The sequence below is a fragment of the Homo sapiens genome, chromosome 4 (genome assembly GCF_000001405.40).
Source record: "Homo sapiens chromosome 4, GRCh38.p14 Primary Assembly".
In the NCBI taxonomy this organism is placed as follows: Eukaryota; Metazoa; Chordata; class Mammalia; order Primates; family Hominidae; genus Homo; species Homo sapiens.
In genome coordinates, this window is record NC_000004.12 from 71559009 (window position 1) to 71575238 (window position 16230).

Here is a 16230-nt window from a genome sequence, read left to right on the forward strand (position 1 = left end):
ATAAATCACTTTTTGCTTGTGCTAAATAATAATTTTAAAATGGTTTACTTTTCCAAAGTGTTTTTGTCTTTTCAGAACTTTTATTTGGTCACAAAATAATTCTGTAATAGAAGTTAGGACAGATGTTATTTATTTCTCTAGGTGATGAGGAAACTGTCATATAGAGAGCACGATGCTGATAAAGACAACTGCTTAATTTGAAGCAAGTCAGGATGCCTATAACTTGCTGCATATTAATTTTAATATAGAATAAAGATATCTTTAATGTACCTTCAGAAGTTATTCTTCAAGAGCAATTCATAGAACCAAAAATACACAGGTCAAGAATATTTGTTTTGGAAGCAGACAACTGGGACCCTTTGTATTATTCAGTTATCTGGGTTCATCTCCCTCACAGACATTAAGGACCTTGGACAACATACTTAATGTCTCTAACCTTCAATTTCCTCAGCTGTATGATAAAAATAATAATACCTATTTTGGGGGTTTGTTCTGAAGAATAAATGAGATAATATTGCCTGAGAGTTTAACATAATGTCTGGGACATGTTAAATATTCAGTTAACGGTGGTGATTGAAGTAGCCCAGTGAATGAAATGGTCTATGCATATTCAAATACTACCTCATTGTGAATACTTTGAAGATGTCTTAGTGTTATATGTGTCGTACAGATTTTCTTGATTGCTAAAAACCTTTATGATGTTTTAATTTTTAATACTTAGAAATCATATGCCAGCTATTTTTTTACTTTAAACTTTTAATTATTTTATTTAAAATCTCACATGGAAGGCAATGGTTTTGAAAAACAATCTTTTCACATTAAAATTCTAATTGAATGTGATCATGCATTTTGGTGAACAAAACAAAGTGAGTTTCAACTAAGACTTTTATAAAACAACTTTCCCCATGTAGAAAATTATGAGAGTTCACTCGGTATAAGTCCATACCGTCAAGATCAGGTCTGTCATACTCTATCTAGCCTTACACAAAGTAGGTTTCTGTGGTCTTTGATAGGAGAGTATCTATGCTTGCTGTGACTTCATCTGACATGGTTTCTTTCATACTTTTAATATTTGCTCTTTCAGATCTTGGCACTTGTAGCTGTCAGAAAAGGCATGGACTACCTCTTCTCCCAGCACGACCTCAGCTTCCTGGATGATGTCATTCCAGAAAAGGACAAGAAAAAGAAGGAGGATGAGAAGAAAAAGAAAAAGAAGAAGGGAAGTCTGGACAGTGACAATGATGATGTAAGGAACTTTCCAAATTCCAAAGGAAAGCTAGTTAAAGAAACAAATGTGAAAATTGTCCCTTTTTATACCTGATGTGAAATGGAGGGCTGAGTTCTAAGAATGTTTATCTGGACATGTGGTGTATTACTCATTTCACCTCCCTTTGCCCTTTATATTCTCTGGTTTTTTATGTTTTCTGAATTCTTTCTGTAACCATTAATACACTAATAATGACATAATGACTAATAATGACTTCTAAAAAATTTAAAAACCCACCACATTAAAAAAATTCTGATCTCATAGATATAAAGGAAGTTTGCTTAGTAATGCTATAAAATGTATTTGGTTTCTATTAATAACCCAGGGCTTATATTTGAGATAATAACTCAATTTTATGTAATTTTAAGCCTAATGTGGATAGATGTCAATGATCTCACTTCACGTGATCTGTGAATCTATTTGAGTAGGCTCTCCACCAAAGTTCTATGCTGTTATATTAATATTAGCATTATATTTATACTGATATGATTCAGCATTATTTTTCTGTAGTTCTTCAATAAAAAGAAAAGGGAATGGGAGTTTGGGGTCTTTTTACATAATTATAGTGGTTAGTGTCATAGTCCAGAGGGTCCTCCTCCAATTAGGTGATTAAGTTGAGAAGTAAAATTGTTGCCCAGTTTTTTCTTTAGGAGACCAGCTCACAGAAATACAGATTCTCCAGCAGGGATCTGTAATCAGTACTAGGAGGAAAACTGGGATTTGTTTACTTTAACACATGCGGACACCTTATTCCAGTAGCCTTTTGAAAAGATTGCCAAAATAATGTTTTCCATTTGAAAATTTGCTCTGGATTTTACACAGTGCAGTATCACAAATGATTTTTTGTGCCTCATTACCCATTCTAAAGTAGGAATATTGTTAATTGTTAGTTTCTACTTAGTACTTGATAACTTTGATTGATCATTGCATACTTTATCCTTAATTGTCTCAATAGCTTGTTATCACATTATTTATTTTTGTTCCCATTTTACAGATGAGGAGATTTAGACTGAGAAATGTTAAATATGTTTTAGAAATTTTAAAGCTTTATTGAGGTACGATTGACAAATAAAATTGTATATATGTAAGGTGATGCTTTGACATATATAAGTCATTTTTCTAATTGTACACAGCCATAGTGGCAAGGCCAAAACTCAAATCCAGGCCTCTCTGGTTATTTCTAACTGGTCAGGCTATCTGATTGTATTCTTTTTGTAGAACTTGGAAATAGTACAGTGAAAGAAGGCAAGAGACAGAATTGGATTTCACATAAATTGATTCAATAAGAAAAAGGCTTAATGCATGAGGCACATTTAGCTAAAGAGAAAAAGAGGTGAAAAGAGCTTTATGTCTGTCATCATCCATCTGCAATGAGAACAGGTATATAGATTTTGTTTCCAATGATGACAGAAAAAGAATGTGTTTAAACTACAGAAGAGACTAAGACGTAATAGTCCGAAGAACGATGTGTTTACACATTTAATAGAAATTAAAATTTGAAATGAATTTCTGGACCACTCAAGACCAAAAAAATAAAAGGCTGCCTGAAATATTAAAATAATTAAAGCAGTATTTTGTCCAAAATAAATATGTCAACTTATGTACCTGGACATCAAATTTAAAGTTCATTACACATTATGAGTGTGTGAAGTCGGGGATTATGGAATCCCCCTCTGTAATGATTTTTGAGAAAAAATAGTAAAATATCAGCTTTGGAGAATGTTTTAAATGTACTGCTCTCTAGTGACAAAAGTTGGATCAAAAGAACTCCTTAGAAGTTCTTCCAATTCTTAGATATGATTTCCAACAAATCCTATTTCATTTAAAGTGTTTTTTTGTATTAATATTTACCATGTTCAACTCTGTGTTTCCAACAGATTTCTTGAAGCCAAAGTGTCGTACTTGTTTTTTACCTCTTCCTCTTCATCCTACCCTTTCCAAAACAAACAAACAAATAAACATATACATTGGTTCCTAGGCAGTGAATCCAGCTAGGCAATTTAGAGTACGTCTGTGCAGTATGTTCTGTGTGTTGAACTCATTATTTAGGGGCTCCACATTACAAATGTGGTTCTCCTAAGTTTACTTTTTAGTCATAGGGTTTGGGGCCCATGGATATAGGGAGTCATGCGGGGACATGAGGGTTACAGCTATAATATAATATTTATGAGCACAATTAGTGAAAATTATAGCTCTTCTTGTTACATTGATCCCTTTACCATTATGTAATGCCCTTCTTTGTCTTTTTTGATCTTTGTTGGTTTAAAATTTGTTTTATCAGAGAGTAGGATTGCAACCACTGCTTTTTTTTTTCTTTCCATTTGCTTGGTAAATATTTCTCCATCCCTTTATTTTGAGCCTATGTGTGTCTTTGCATGTGAGATGGGTCTCCTGAATACAGCACACCGATGGGTCTTGATTCTATCCAATTTGCCAGTCTGTGTCTTTTAATTGGGGCATTTAGCCCCTTTACATTTAAGATTAATATTGTTTATGTGTGGCATCTTTATTTTTTTTTCTTTTTTGCTCGTTGAATGCATTATCTTAGTTCTCTAAAAGGATACTGTTGTTCATTAACCTCTTTAGAGTCATAAATAAAGGAATTTTCCATGTAGGTAATAGGCTTTATGTTAAGATTTTATTAACATTAATTCTCATTTTATTTTCAACTAAAAACCATCTTTTTGGTACTTTTAATTAAGAGATATATTGGGTCTTTCAGCCCAAACATAGACTTGGAATCAATATAATGCATTTAAAAAAAACAAAGTGGTAATCTTTGGGAAATCTATTATAATTTGGGCTAGGTGGCTTGTTCTTTAAGCAGTCCCATGATTAGCTGCCTGGTTTTGTCATTTCCATTATGATTCTCTGCTTATCTGACCATCATAGACACCTTTTTAAACATTTTATTTTCTTATGTTTTGCTTACATTTTCAGATATCTTTGGCACAAGCTAATTGAAATGAACCTTTATCCATAAAATAGTACTTAAAGTAAGAGAGGAAAGTTTATTTTCTAGTGTACATAGAAGGCTTCTTGATAGTGGATATATAAAAAGTCTGTCACTTGTTCTAGAAGGAAAGATCGGTCATGATTTTATCTAGAGACGGAATCAGCATAAACAAAACAAGAATTTCAAGACCGTATTATAACCTGGGAAGTTTCCTATGTTTAATCTGTTTTTGCATTGAGATCATTTGCTTCACACATACAACTCATAAACATTGCTGATTGGGAGTCTGATAGAAAGCTTTACAATTCAGTTGTAGATCGATCTCTATTTTGTGCAGTTATAGTTTTAATTGACTCAATACCATTAACTTAGAAGAGTGGAAAACAAATGTGAGGGGGAAAGAAGGAATGCAGTTAAAAGATGGCAAACTGGAAGTAATTATAAGGCTTTTCTCCTTAGTAGTATGTAAATGATTATAGAAAACGGTTTGATCGATGCTAGGAGATAGGAAGGGCTGTATAATAAAAACATTCTAAAACCTCTTGTACATTTTTTTCACAGTCTGACTGCCCATACTCAGAAAAAGTTCCAAGTATTAAAATTCCAATGGACATCATGGAACAGCAACCTTTCCTAAGCGATAGCAAACCTTCTGACAGTGAGTAGAACTAACCTCTTGCATGCTTGCTTGAATATGATTTGCACTTACAGAGAAAACACTTTAGAATGGCCATCTGCATTAACTTTCCCTCAATTTTGTTTTTCCTTTTTCTATGAGAAGATTTACACTTAATTATAATAAAACTTTGTTTTTACATACCCTAAGCTTCATTCTTCCTTTTATCCATAAACTTTTAAATTTTTATTTGGTAGTCTTTTCTCTTACCCAAATCATCCCCAGTTTTTCCAATGGCTAAATTAATAACCATGTTTTTAATTGATTTTTCTTTTTTTTTCTGTTGGTATTGAGAATTGCAGCTTATAATACTACATCACTGTCACTGTTTGTCTTCCTTAGGTTTTAACTAGTGATCAAATCAGCTCAAAAGAGAAATTGCATCATTGGTCTCTCAGTGATCAATAAATCAATTGTTAATATTGAGAATTTGGAAAAATTTAATTTTGATTAAATTAGCAATCATGAAGTATTAGTACAACTTTCTAGATATAACTTATATGCATTTGCTTTCTAATCTCTTCATTCTCCCTTTTGCTATTTCAAAATTATTATTATAACTGCACTGATCTTTCTAGGGTGATAGCCTGGTGACTACGGTGCAATGGTTTGTGACATTTTTCTCTTCTGTAATTGAATTAACAGGCCACTTAGTAATATTAGTGACCATTTCAGACTTTCCCAATAGCAGGTAGCAATTGCCATCAAGCTACTTTCTACTTTGCGTTCTCATTGAAGAAAATGCATCCTTTTAGATTCAGATGCACTTCAGAGTACACTGATCTGTTACAGAAAAAGACAGTTAAGACACTTTTATTTCTATTTTACCATGCCACCTCAACTACAATAAGAGGTTACTGCTATCAAGAAAAGTTTGGAATGAATATCTATTGATAAAAAATAATGGGTATATTAGTTATCAATCATTGAGTAACAAATTACAATAAAACTCAGCAGCTTAAAAGAACAAACATGTTTTCTTACACAATTCCTCACATTCAGGAATGCAGGGGCAGCTGATTTTGGTTCTGGCTCAGAGTCTCTCATGAGATTGCCGTCAGAGCTGTCAAGCTGTCAGCTGGGGCTGAGTCTCTGAAGACTATTTTTTTTTTTTCCAGGAAGAAATGAAAGGATGATTTGAAAATTATAGTATACTCCACAGTGTGGGAGTGGGCCCAAGAATAGGGACTCAAGGGCCCCATTACAAAATTTTTGGGAGTTTAAATACCCTCTACTTGGGGTACGCCCTATGTAAATGGAGAGGATGAAGTAAAGTTACAAACTCATTTATTTGGCCCACGCCCCATGGAGAGGATATTTCCTGTCATAGCCGAAGTGTGAATTGGCCTTATGTTCCCTGCCTCCAGACACTGTTTTCCTGCCACATCTCCTCACTGAGAGATGTGATCTCCATACATCTTCATGGGAGGCAGAGGGACCGATGGTCTTTTTTCTGTAACTGCTTCATGCTGGCTTGGGGCATACTCCTACCTATTGGGGATCCCTGAACTCTCACCCTGCTCTGTCTAGTGGAGGCAGGGTAGCTTCTTGATGGCCAGGGTGTTGTCTTCACCTGGAACTGGCTGGAACCTTTGTTGTGTGATCATCTGAAGCTGATGGTCTCTAGGCAAGAGGAAATGAATTTGGTTAAAAAGGGGAAATTTTTTTAAACAAAAGTCTGGGAAGCCATTGTTTTGAACTAAGCTCATGCACTGGGCCCCAACAGACCAAACCAAAGCAAAATGAAGTCATTTGTGCTAAGACTGTAAGGAAACACGTGAATTCTAGAACAGAGCAGGTTTTGTTTCTTCTTCTGCAAATCTCTGTAACAAACATTCTTGACAGCATAGGTATCCACCCCCTGAGGTTCCCATTAAATATTTTAGTGTCTGAAGCTGGGTGTCTGCTTCCAAAAGCATACTCATGGGGCCCTTGGGATGACCTTTGTTTTTTACCTGTGGGTATCTCCGTAGGGCTCCCCATGATATGGCCTCCCTCAGAGCCAGTGATAAAAGAGAAAGAAACCAAGACAGAAGCTGCAGTCTTTTATAACTAAATCTCAGAAGTAACGGACCATTACTTCTGTCATATTCTGGTGGTTATGCAGCCCCACACTGTTAACACTGGGAAGGAATTACACAAAGTCATAAATACCAGGAGACAGGATCACTGAGAGCCATCTTGGAGGCTGGCTACCAGCCTGGATTTGAAGAACAAAGAACTAAAGCAGTCTTACCTTTGGTGTCCAGTTTGTAACCTATAACTTGTAACCGAGGCTAATTTCTGCTAACCCCTATTAATGGGGTTTGGTTATGAATTTCTTTTTGAGTTTAAACTCCTCAAACCATGTTCTGACTTCATTTTTCTCCATGGAGCATTAATAGCAAAAGCACAGTCTAACAGACATGTGCCTAGCATGTATGTCTTCTGTTGGCATCATAACCTGGTATAGCCCCTTATAAAGAAATGTAAAAGCTATTTTTTAAAAAAATTACTAGCCAGAATTTGAGGCTCATGGAAAAAGTTTATGTGCCATTTGCCCTTCATCCTCTCAAAACCCCTTTTAAAGGATAAATTGCAAGTTGATATGATATTAGAAGTTTACTTAAACAAAATACACTTGAGCATTTTGCCTGAAATGTTTCCTAATGTCATGTTTATCTTTATAATCCATGATGAAAGAACAAAACTGATAGAAGTAGTGTTGCAGTATGAGTAAGTGCCTCAAAAAAAAAAATCTTTTTTTCCTTATGAACAACAGCAGGCAAACCTAGGAATACTGAAGATGGAAGGAAATCCAAAAGCAAGCCTTAGGCATTAAGAGAATGCTATCACCCTCTAAAAATGATTTGCTTCTTATCCTTCTCACTGACAAGACAACAGTGATCCATCCCAGAAAACCTAAAGTAAAAGAGATGAAGTGATTTTGTCTTCATCACACTAGAGTCTTAGCTTAATACCTTGTTTATTGAAATGCCTAAACTTGTCTTTTTTACTCTTACCAGTTATGGAAGATGCATCAATTTTGTGAAGATTTTTGTTTTATACTTCACCAAAGATCTACCATTTATGTTTTTAAAAAATTTTATTTTCCAGGAGAAAGATCACCAACATTCCTTGAACGCCACACATCATGCTGATAAAATTCCTTTCCTTCAGTCACTCGGTATGCCAAGGTAAAGGAGAGCCCAGTATTTTATGTTTTTCTGTGGGATAATTGCCCCACAGAAATGTAGTTAATGGTGGGTTATTGACAGAACTTCTTGTTCTCCTTCGTCTCTATTATTTATCTTAAATAAATTACCCAGTGACCAAAACTTGTTCCAGCTTTTACTAGTAGAAAGCATTCTAAGAGACCTAGTTACTATTACAAATAATGGAATCTTTCAGTATCATTAAGTTACAACCCAGGATCAACATTAGCTCTTTTAATTTCAGTATCGTCCCTGATTTAAAGAGGTAACTGGCACTTTCTGACAGTTCTTCTCCAGTGGTTTCTTTCCCTCTTAATGAAGTTCTAGGGATTTCAGATTCTACTTGATTTTCTGAAATCTCTGAATGTTTTTATTATGTCAGTCTTTTTGTCCTTTAATTTCTGACAGCATTACCCACCTGGTAGTACCTCTTTTCCTTTTGTGTTTGTTGTTTTTATTAATTTAATCTAGGTATGAGATCTTATGAATTTTTTTACTTGAATTTCTTGACTCTGCTGGTAACCTTCATCCCATTTAAAATGTTTGTTTTTAATACACAAAGAGAATATAAATATTAAAAGAGAACAAAGAAGGACACATTTGACTTCTATACAATGCATAAACATTTGACAGATGATGAAGGAAATCTGATTTACTTACTACTTTTTTTTTTCCTTTTTCTCTAGTCCTCCTAGAACTCCAGTAAAAGTTGTGCCTCAAATTAGAATAGAACTTGAACCTGAAGACAATGATTATTTCTGGAGGAGCAAGGGAACAGAAACTACATTGTAACCTGTTTGTCTTTCTTAAAACTGACATTTGTTGTTAATGTCATTTGTTTTTGTTTGGCTGTTTGTTTATTTTTTAACTTTTATTTCGTCTCAGTTTTTGGTCACAGGCCAAATAATACAGCGCTCTCTCTGCTTCTCTCTTGCATAGACACAATCAAGACAATAGTGCACCGTTCCTTAAAAACAGCATCTGAGGAATCCCCCTTTTGTTCTTAAACTTTCAGATGTGTCCTTTGATAACCAAATTCTGTCACTCAAGACACAGACACGCACAGACCCTGTCCTTTGCCTCTATTAAGCAGAGGATGGAAGTATTAAGGATTTTGTAACACCTTTTATGAAAATGTTGAAGGAACTTAAAACTTTAGCTTTGGAGCTGTGCTTACTGGCTTGTCTTTGTCTGGTAGAACAAACCTTGACCTCCAGACAGAGTCCCTTCTCACTTATAGAGCTCTCCAGGACTGGAAAAAGTGCTGCTATTTTAACTTGCTCTTGCTTGTAAATCCTAATCTTAGAGTTATCAAAAGAAGAAAAAACTGAAGGTACTTTACTCCCTATAGAGAAACCATTGCCATCATTGTAGCAAGTGCTGGAATGTCCCTTTTTTCCTATGCAACTTTTTTTAACCCTTTAATGAACTTATCTGTTGAGTACATTGAAGAATATTTTTCTTCCTAGATTTTGTTGTTTAAATTATGGGGCCTAACCTGCCACTTATTTTTTGTCAATTTTTAAAACTTTTTTTTAATTACTGTAAAGAAAATGAATTTTTTCCTGCAGCAGGAAACATAGTTTTGAGTAGTTCTACCTCTTATTTGTAGCTGCCAGGCTTTCTGTAAAAATTGTATTGTATATAATGTGATTTTTACACATACATACACACACAAATACACAATCTCTAGGGTAAGCCAGAAGGCAAGATCAGATTAAAAACACCATGTTTCTAAGCATCCATTTTTCCCTTTCTTTAAAAGAAACTTAACTGTTCTATGAAGGAGATTGAGGGAGAAGAGACAAACTCCTATGTCATGAGAATAACCGATGTTCTGATAATAGTAGCATCTAGGTACAGATGCTGGTTGTATTACCACGTCAATGTCCTATGCAGTATTGTTAGACATTTTCTCATTTTGAAATATTTGTGTGTTTGTGTATGTGCTCTGTGCCATGGCTGGTGTATATATGTGCAATGTTAGAAGGCAAAAGAGTGATGGTAGGCAGAGGGCAAAGTCATTGAATCTCTTATGCCAGTTTTCATAAAACCCAAACCACATATGAAAAAATCCATTAAGGGTCCAAGAAGTCTGTCCATATGAAAATGAGGGTAAATATAGTTTATTTCCCAGGTATCAGTCATTATAATTGATATAATAGCTCTAACATGCAATATAAAATTCATAGGAGTATTAATAGCCCATTTACACATCTATAAAATGTAATGGGATTGCAGAGCTGCAGAGTACAGTGTAACAGTACTCTCATGCAATTTTTTTCAGGATGCAAAGGCAATTATTCTTTGTAAGCGGGACATTTAGAATATATTTGTGTACATATTATATGTATGTATATTTCAAAGTACCACACTGAAAATTAGACATTTATTAACCAAATTTAACGTGGTATTTAAAGGTAATATTTTTAATATGATACATTACATATTGTGAATGTATACTAAAAAAACATTTTAAATGTTAAAATTATAATTTCAGATTCATATAACCACAACTGTGATATATCCTAACTATAACCAGTTGTTGAGGGGTATACTAGAAGCAGAATGAAACCACATTTTTTGGTTTGATAATATGCACTTATTGACTCCCACTCATTGTTATGTTAATTAAGTTATTATTCTGTCTCCTTGTAATTTTGATTACAAAAATTTTATTATCCTGAGTTAGCTGTTACTTTTACAGTACCTGATACTCCTAAAACTTTTAACTTATACAAATTAGTCAATAATGACCCCAATTTTTTCATTAAAATAATAGTGGTGAATTATATGTTATTGTGTTAAAACCTCACTTGCCAAATTCTGGCTTCACATTTGTATTTAGGGCTATCCTTAAAATGATGAGTCTATATTATCTAGCTTTCTATTACCCTAATATAAACTGGTATAAGAAGACTTTCCTTTTTTCTTTATGCATGGAAGCATCAATAAATTGTTTAAAAACCATGTATAGTAAATTCAGCTTAACCCGTGATCTTCTTAAGTTAAAGGTACTTTTGTTTTATAAAAGCTCTAGATAAAACTTTCTTTTCTGATCATGAATCAAGTATCTGTGGTTTCATGCCCCTCTCTATACCTTTCAAAGAACTCCTGAAGCAACTTAACTCATCATTTCAGCCTCTGAGTAGAGGTAAAACCTATGTGTACTTCTGTTTATGATCCATATTGATATTTATGACATGAACACAGAATAGTACCTTACATTTGCTAAACAGACAGTTAATATCAAATCCTTTCAATATTCTGGGAACCCAGGGAAGTTTTTAAAAATGTCATTACTTTCAAAGGAACAGAAGTAGTTAACCAAACTAACAAGCAAAACCTGAGGTTTACCTAGTGACACCAAATTATCGGTATTTTAACTGAATTTACCCATTGACTAAGAATGAACCAGATTTGGTGGTGGTTTTGTTTCTATGCAAACTGGACACAAATTACAACAGTAAATTTTTTTATAAGTGCTTCTCCCTTCTCCATGATGTGACTTCCGGAGATAAAGGATTCAAAAGATAAAGACAAAGTACGCTCAGAGTTGTTAACCAGAAAGTCCTGGCTGTGGTTGCAGAAACACTGTTGGAAGAAAAGAGATGACTAAGTCAAGTGTCTGCCTTATCAAAAGAGCAAAAATGCCTCTGGTTTTGTGTTTGGGAGAAAAGTATCTTGGACGCACTGTTTTCCTTGATAAAAGTCATCTTCTCTACTGTGTGAAATGAATACTTGGAATTCTAATTGTTTTGTGTGCCAGGGGCAGTAATGTCCCTGCCTCTTCTCCCAATCAAGGTTGAGGAGTGGGGCTGGGGAGAGGACTTAACTGACTTAAGAAGTAGGAAAACAAAAACCTCTCTCCTCAGCCTTCCACCTCCAAGAGAGGAGGAAAAACAGTTGTCTGCTGTCTGTAATTCAGTTTGCGTGTATTTTATGCTCATGCACCAACCCATACAGAGTAAATCTTTTATCAACTGTATACTGGTGTTTAATAGAGAATGATTGTCTTCCGAGTTTTTTGGTTCCTTTTTTAACTGTGTTAAAGTACTTGAAATGTATTGACTGCTGACTATATTTTAAAAACAAAATGAAATAATTTGAGTTGTATTACAGAGGTTGACATTGTTCAGGGATGGGACAAAGCCTTCTTCAATCCTTTTCATACTACTTAATGATTTTGGTGCAGGAACCTGAGATTTTCTGATTTATATTTCATGATATTTCACATTTGCTCTTCACAGCATGAGCATGAAGCCCAGTGGCACCAAATGGCTGGGTACAATCAAGTGATATTTTGTAGCACCTCACTATCTGAAAGGCCATGAGTTTTCAGATGATTTCATTGAGCTTCATTGCAGCCTGAAATTTTAAAAAAGTTGTGTAATACGCCAACCAGTCAAGTTGTGTTTTGGCCAGAGATTTAGATATGTCCAATTTCCTGGCTCATTTCATTGTGCTCTATGGGTACGTATAAAAAGCAAGAATTCTGTTTCCTAGGCAAACATTGCAACTCAGGGCTAAAGTCATCCAGTGAAACTTTTAGAGCCAGAAGTAACTTTGTCCCAGTCCTACAATGTGAAAAGAGTGAATAGTTGCCTCTTTTTAGCCATTTTCATGGCTGGTACATATTCGTACGCATTACTTTTCAGAATCAATACGCACTTTCAGATATTCTTATTTTTATTCTCTTAAGTCTTTATTAACTTTGGAGAGAGAAATGATGCATCTTTTTATTTTAAATGAAGTAGATCAACATGGTGGAACAAAATGATAAAGAACAGAAAACATTTCAATATATTACTAATAACTTTTTCCAATATAAATCCTAAAATTCCTATAACATAGTATTTTACAGTTTTATGAAGCTTTCTATTGTGACTTTTATGGAATTAAGAGATGAAGAAGATGAGATATTTTAGCATTTATATTTTTCAAAATTATATGTATACTTAAAAATAAAGTAACTTTATGCATTTATGACTGTCAAGTGTTTCTGTTCAACTCCTCAAATAATTGTTAAATGCCCATTATTTTACTTCTTTGGGTGCTGCAGGGAATACAAAGATGATCAAGTCAGAGTCTCTGTCCCCAGATTGCTTTAGTTACCCCAGGCAGGAGGATAAAATTAGTGTCCAAATTATATTTTTAAAAAGATTATAAGAATTATCTAAGTATTAATGAAATGCTATTATGCAAAGATTCTAAGCAAGAAAAAATAGGTCCAACTAAGAGCAATAGGAATTTTTTCTTGAGAAGATAGTATTGTCTTCTTTTATAAAGTTAGTGAAATATAAAATACCACTTTCTTGAATCCAGGATGAGGTATACAGTAAATTAATTCTCAAAACAAAACAAAAAAAACAAAAAACAAACTGCTAAGCACAAAAAGTACTTATTAAAAAATAATTGTTCAATTGAATGAAATCTTAGAATGATTTTTCACAGAAGATACATTATATACACTTTTGCTGGGCCTATCCAAGGTTTTGTGTACTATTTAAAATTCTCTAGGTAGTTTCAGTCCAAAATTATAATCAGAGAGTGGTGGTGTTGGGTGGGGGGAGGGGGAACAAATAATAGAAGTGATGAAAGAGAACTTCTGGTTGCAGTAAAAGGTGACGTAAAAACAAAATTAATGAGGCAGTGACATTGGCTCAATCTTTCAATCTGAAAACATAACAGAATCGCTCTGAGCATGAGGGGACTGATAGTGGTGGTGATAATGGGGGCTAGGGAATGGGATTTGGAGTTTATCTTTGAGCTGAAAGAAGCAGCAGAAGCCACACACAGAATAAATTCTAATATGGGAGAATCTGAATTTTCAGCATACACACAGAAGATTCATTAAATAATATTGCCACGCATAACAATAAAAGTTGAGAAATTAGATCAAATTTAGTATATTATGGAAAAGAGTATACTTTTGCATGTGTTTTTGCATTTTTACCAACCCTTCATTATGCTATATATCCTACCTGATGCCCCTGAAAACTAGGAGGTAGAACACAAAACCCTATGAGATACCAAATCATCTTTCTCAAGGTCTAGGCATGACAGCCTGAGCACCTTAGATCTCAAATCCTTATTCAGAATATATGCTCATTTAATTCAAAATGTTAACAAGCTCGGTCATCTATAGATTTCTTAAAATGGAGGAAATTAGAAACAACAGAGAAAACTATTGATAAGAGAATTGATGTAGCAAGAATAGCTTAGTCTTGACAGGAAGAAAGAAGATATTTAAAAGCTGTATAAAATTTATTCTAATTTTTTTTTATTATTATACTTTAAGTTTTAGGGTACATGTGCACAACGTGCAGGTTTGTTACATATGTATACATGTGCCATGTTGGTGTGCTGCACCCATTAACTCATCATTTAGCATTAGGTGTATCTCCTAATGCTATCCCTCCCCCTCCCCCGACCCCACAACAGTCCCCAGTGTGTGATGTTTCCCTTCCTGTGTCCATGTGATCTCATTGTTCAATTCCCAGCTATAAGTGAGAAGATGCGGTGTTTGGTTTTTTGTTCTTGCGTTAGTTTGCTGAGAATGATGGTTTCCAGCTTCATCCATGTCCCTGCAAAGGACACGAACTCATCCTTTTTTATGGCTGCATAGTATTCCATGGTGTATATGTGCCACATTTTCTTAATCCAGTCTATCATTGTTGGACATTTGGGTTGGTTCCAAGTCTTTGCTATTGTGAATAGTGCTGCAATAAACATGTGTGCATGTGTCTTTATAGCAGCATGATTTATAATCTTTTGGGTATATACCCAGTAATGGGATTACTGGGTCAAATGGTATTTCTAGTTCTAGATCCCTGAGGAATTGCCACACCGACTTCCACAATGGTTGAACTAGTTTACAGTCCCACCAACAGTGGAAAAGTATTCCCATTTCTCCACATCCTCTCCAGCACCTGTTGTTTCCTGACTTTTTAATGATCGCCATTCTAACTGGCGTGAGATGGTATCTCATTGTGGTTTTGATTTGCATTTCTCTGACGGCCAGTGATGATGAGCATTTTTTCATGTGTCTGTTGGCTGCATAAATGTCTTTTTTTGAGAAGGATCTGTTCATATCCTTTGCCCACTTTTTGATGGGGTTGTTTGTTTTTTTCTTGTAAATTTGTTTGTGTTCTTCATAGATTCTGGATATTAGCCTTTTCTCAGATGAGTAGGTTGCAAAAATTTTCTCCCGTTCTGTAGGTTGCCTGTTCACTCCGATGGTAGTTTCTTTTGCTGTGCAGAAGTTCTTTAGTTTAATTACATCCCATTTGTCAATTTTGGTTTTTGTTGCCATTGCTTTTGGTGTTTTAGTCATGAAGTCCTTGCCCATGCCTATGTCCTGAATGGTATTGCCTAGGTTTTCTTCTAGGATTTTTATGGTTTTAGGTCTAACATGTAAGTCTTTAATCCATCTTGAATTAATTTTTGTATAAGGAAGGGATCCAGTTTCAGCTTTCTACCTATGGCTAGCCAGTTTTCCCAGCACCATTTATTAAATAGGGAATCGTTTCCCCATTTCTTGTTTTTGCCAGGTTTGTCAAATATCAGATGGTTGTAGATGTATGGCATTATTTCTGAGGCCTCTGTTCTGTTCCATTGGTCTGTATATCTGTTTTGGAACCAGTAGCATGCTGTTTGGGTTACTGTAGCCTTGTAGTATAGTTTGAAGTCAGGTAGGTGATGCCTCCAGCTTTATTCTTTTGGCTTAAGATTGTCTTGGCAACGAGAGCTCTTTTTTGGTTCCATATGAACTTTAAAGTAGTTTTTTCCAATTCTGTGAAGAAAGACATTGGTAGCTTGATGGGGATGGCATTGGATCTATAAATTACCTTGGGCAGTATGGCCATTTTCATGATATTGATTCTTCCTATCCACGAGCATGGAATGTTCTTCCATTTTCTTGTGTTGTCTTCACATCCCTTGTAAGTTGGATTACTAGGTATTTTATTCTCATAGCAATTGTGAATGGGAGTTCACTCTGTGTGTTATAGGTGTATAGGAATGCTTGTGATTTTTGCACATTGATTTTGTATCCTGAGACTTTGCTGAAATTGCTTATCAGCTTGAGGAGATTTTGGGCTGAGACGATGGGGTTTTCTAAATATACAATCATGTC

The 16230-nt window shown here is 34.7% G+C and overlaps 1 protein-coding gene across 13 annotated transcripts in view; it reads left to right on the forward strand.

Moving 5' to 3' along the window:
* Positions 1 to 13075, forward strand: part of SLC4A4 (solute carrier family 4 member 4) — a 509424-nt gene extending 496349 nt beyond the window's left edge. For 12 of the 13 annotated variants that reach the window (XM_024454268.2, NM_001440628.1, NM_001098484.3 and 9 more), the window contains 4 exons: positions 1085 to 1246; positions 4785 to 4881; positions 7996 to 8075; positions 8780 to 13075. In XM_024454268.2, the coding sequence (XP_024310036.1) occupies positions 1085 to 1246; positions 4785 to 4881; positions 7996 to 8039 (303 nt within the window). In that variant the 3' untranslated portion in view covers positions 8040 to 8075; positions 8780 to 13075. The remainder of the gene's footprint in view (positions 1 to 1084; positions 1247 to 4784; positions 4882 to 7995; positions 8076 to 8779) is intronic. The other variant, NM_001134742.2, reaches the window with a different exon arrangement.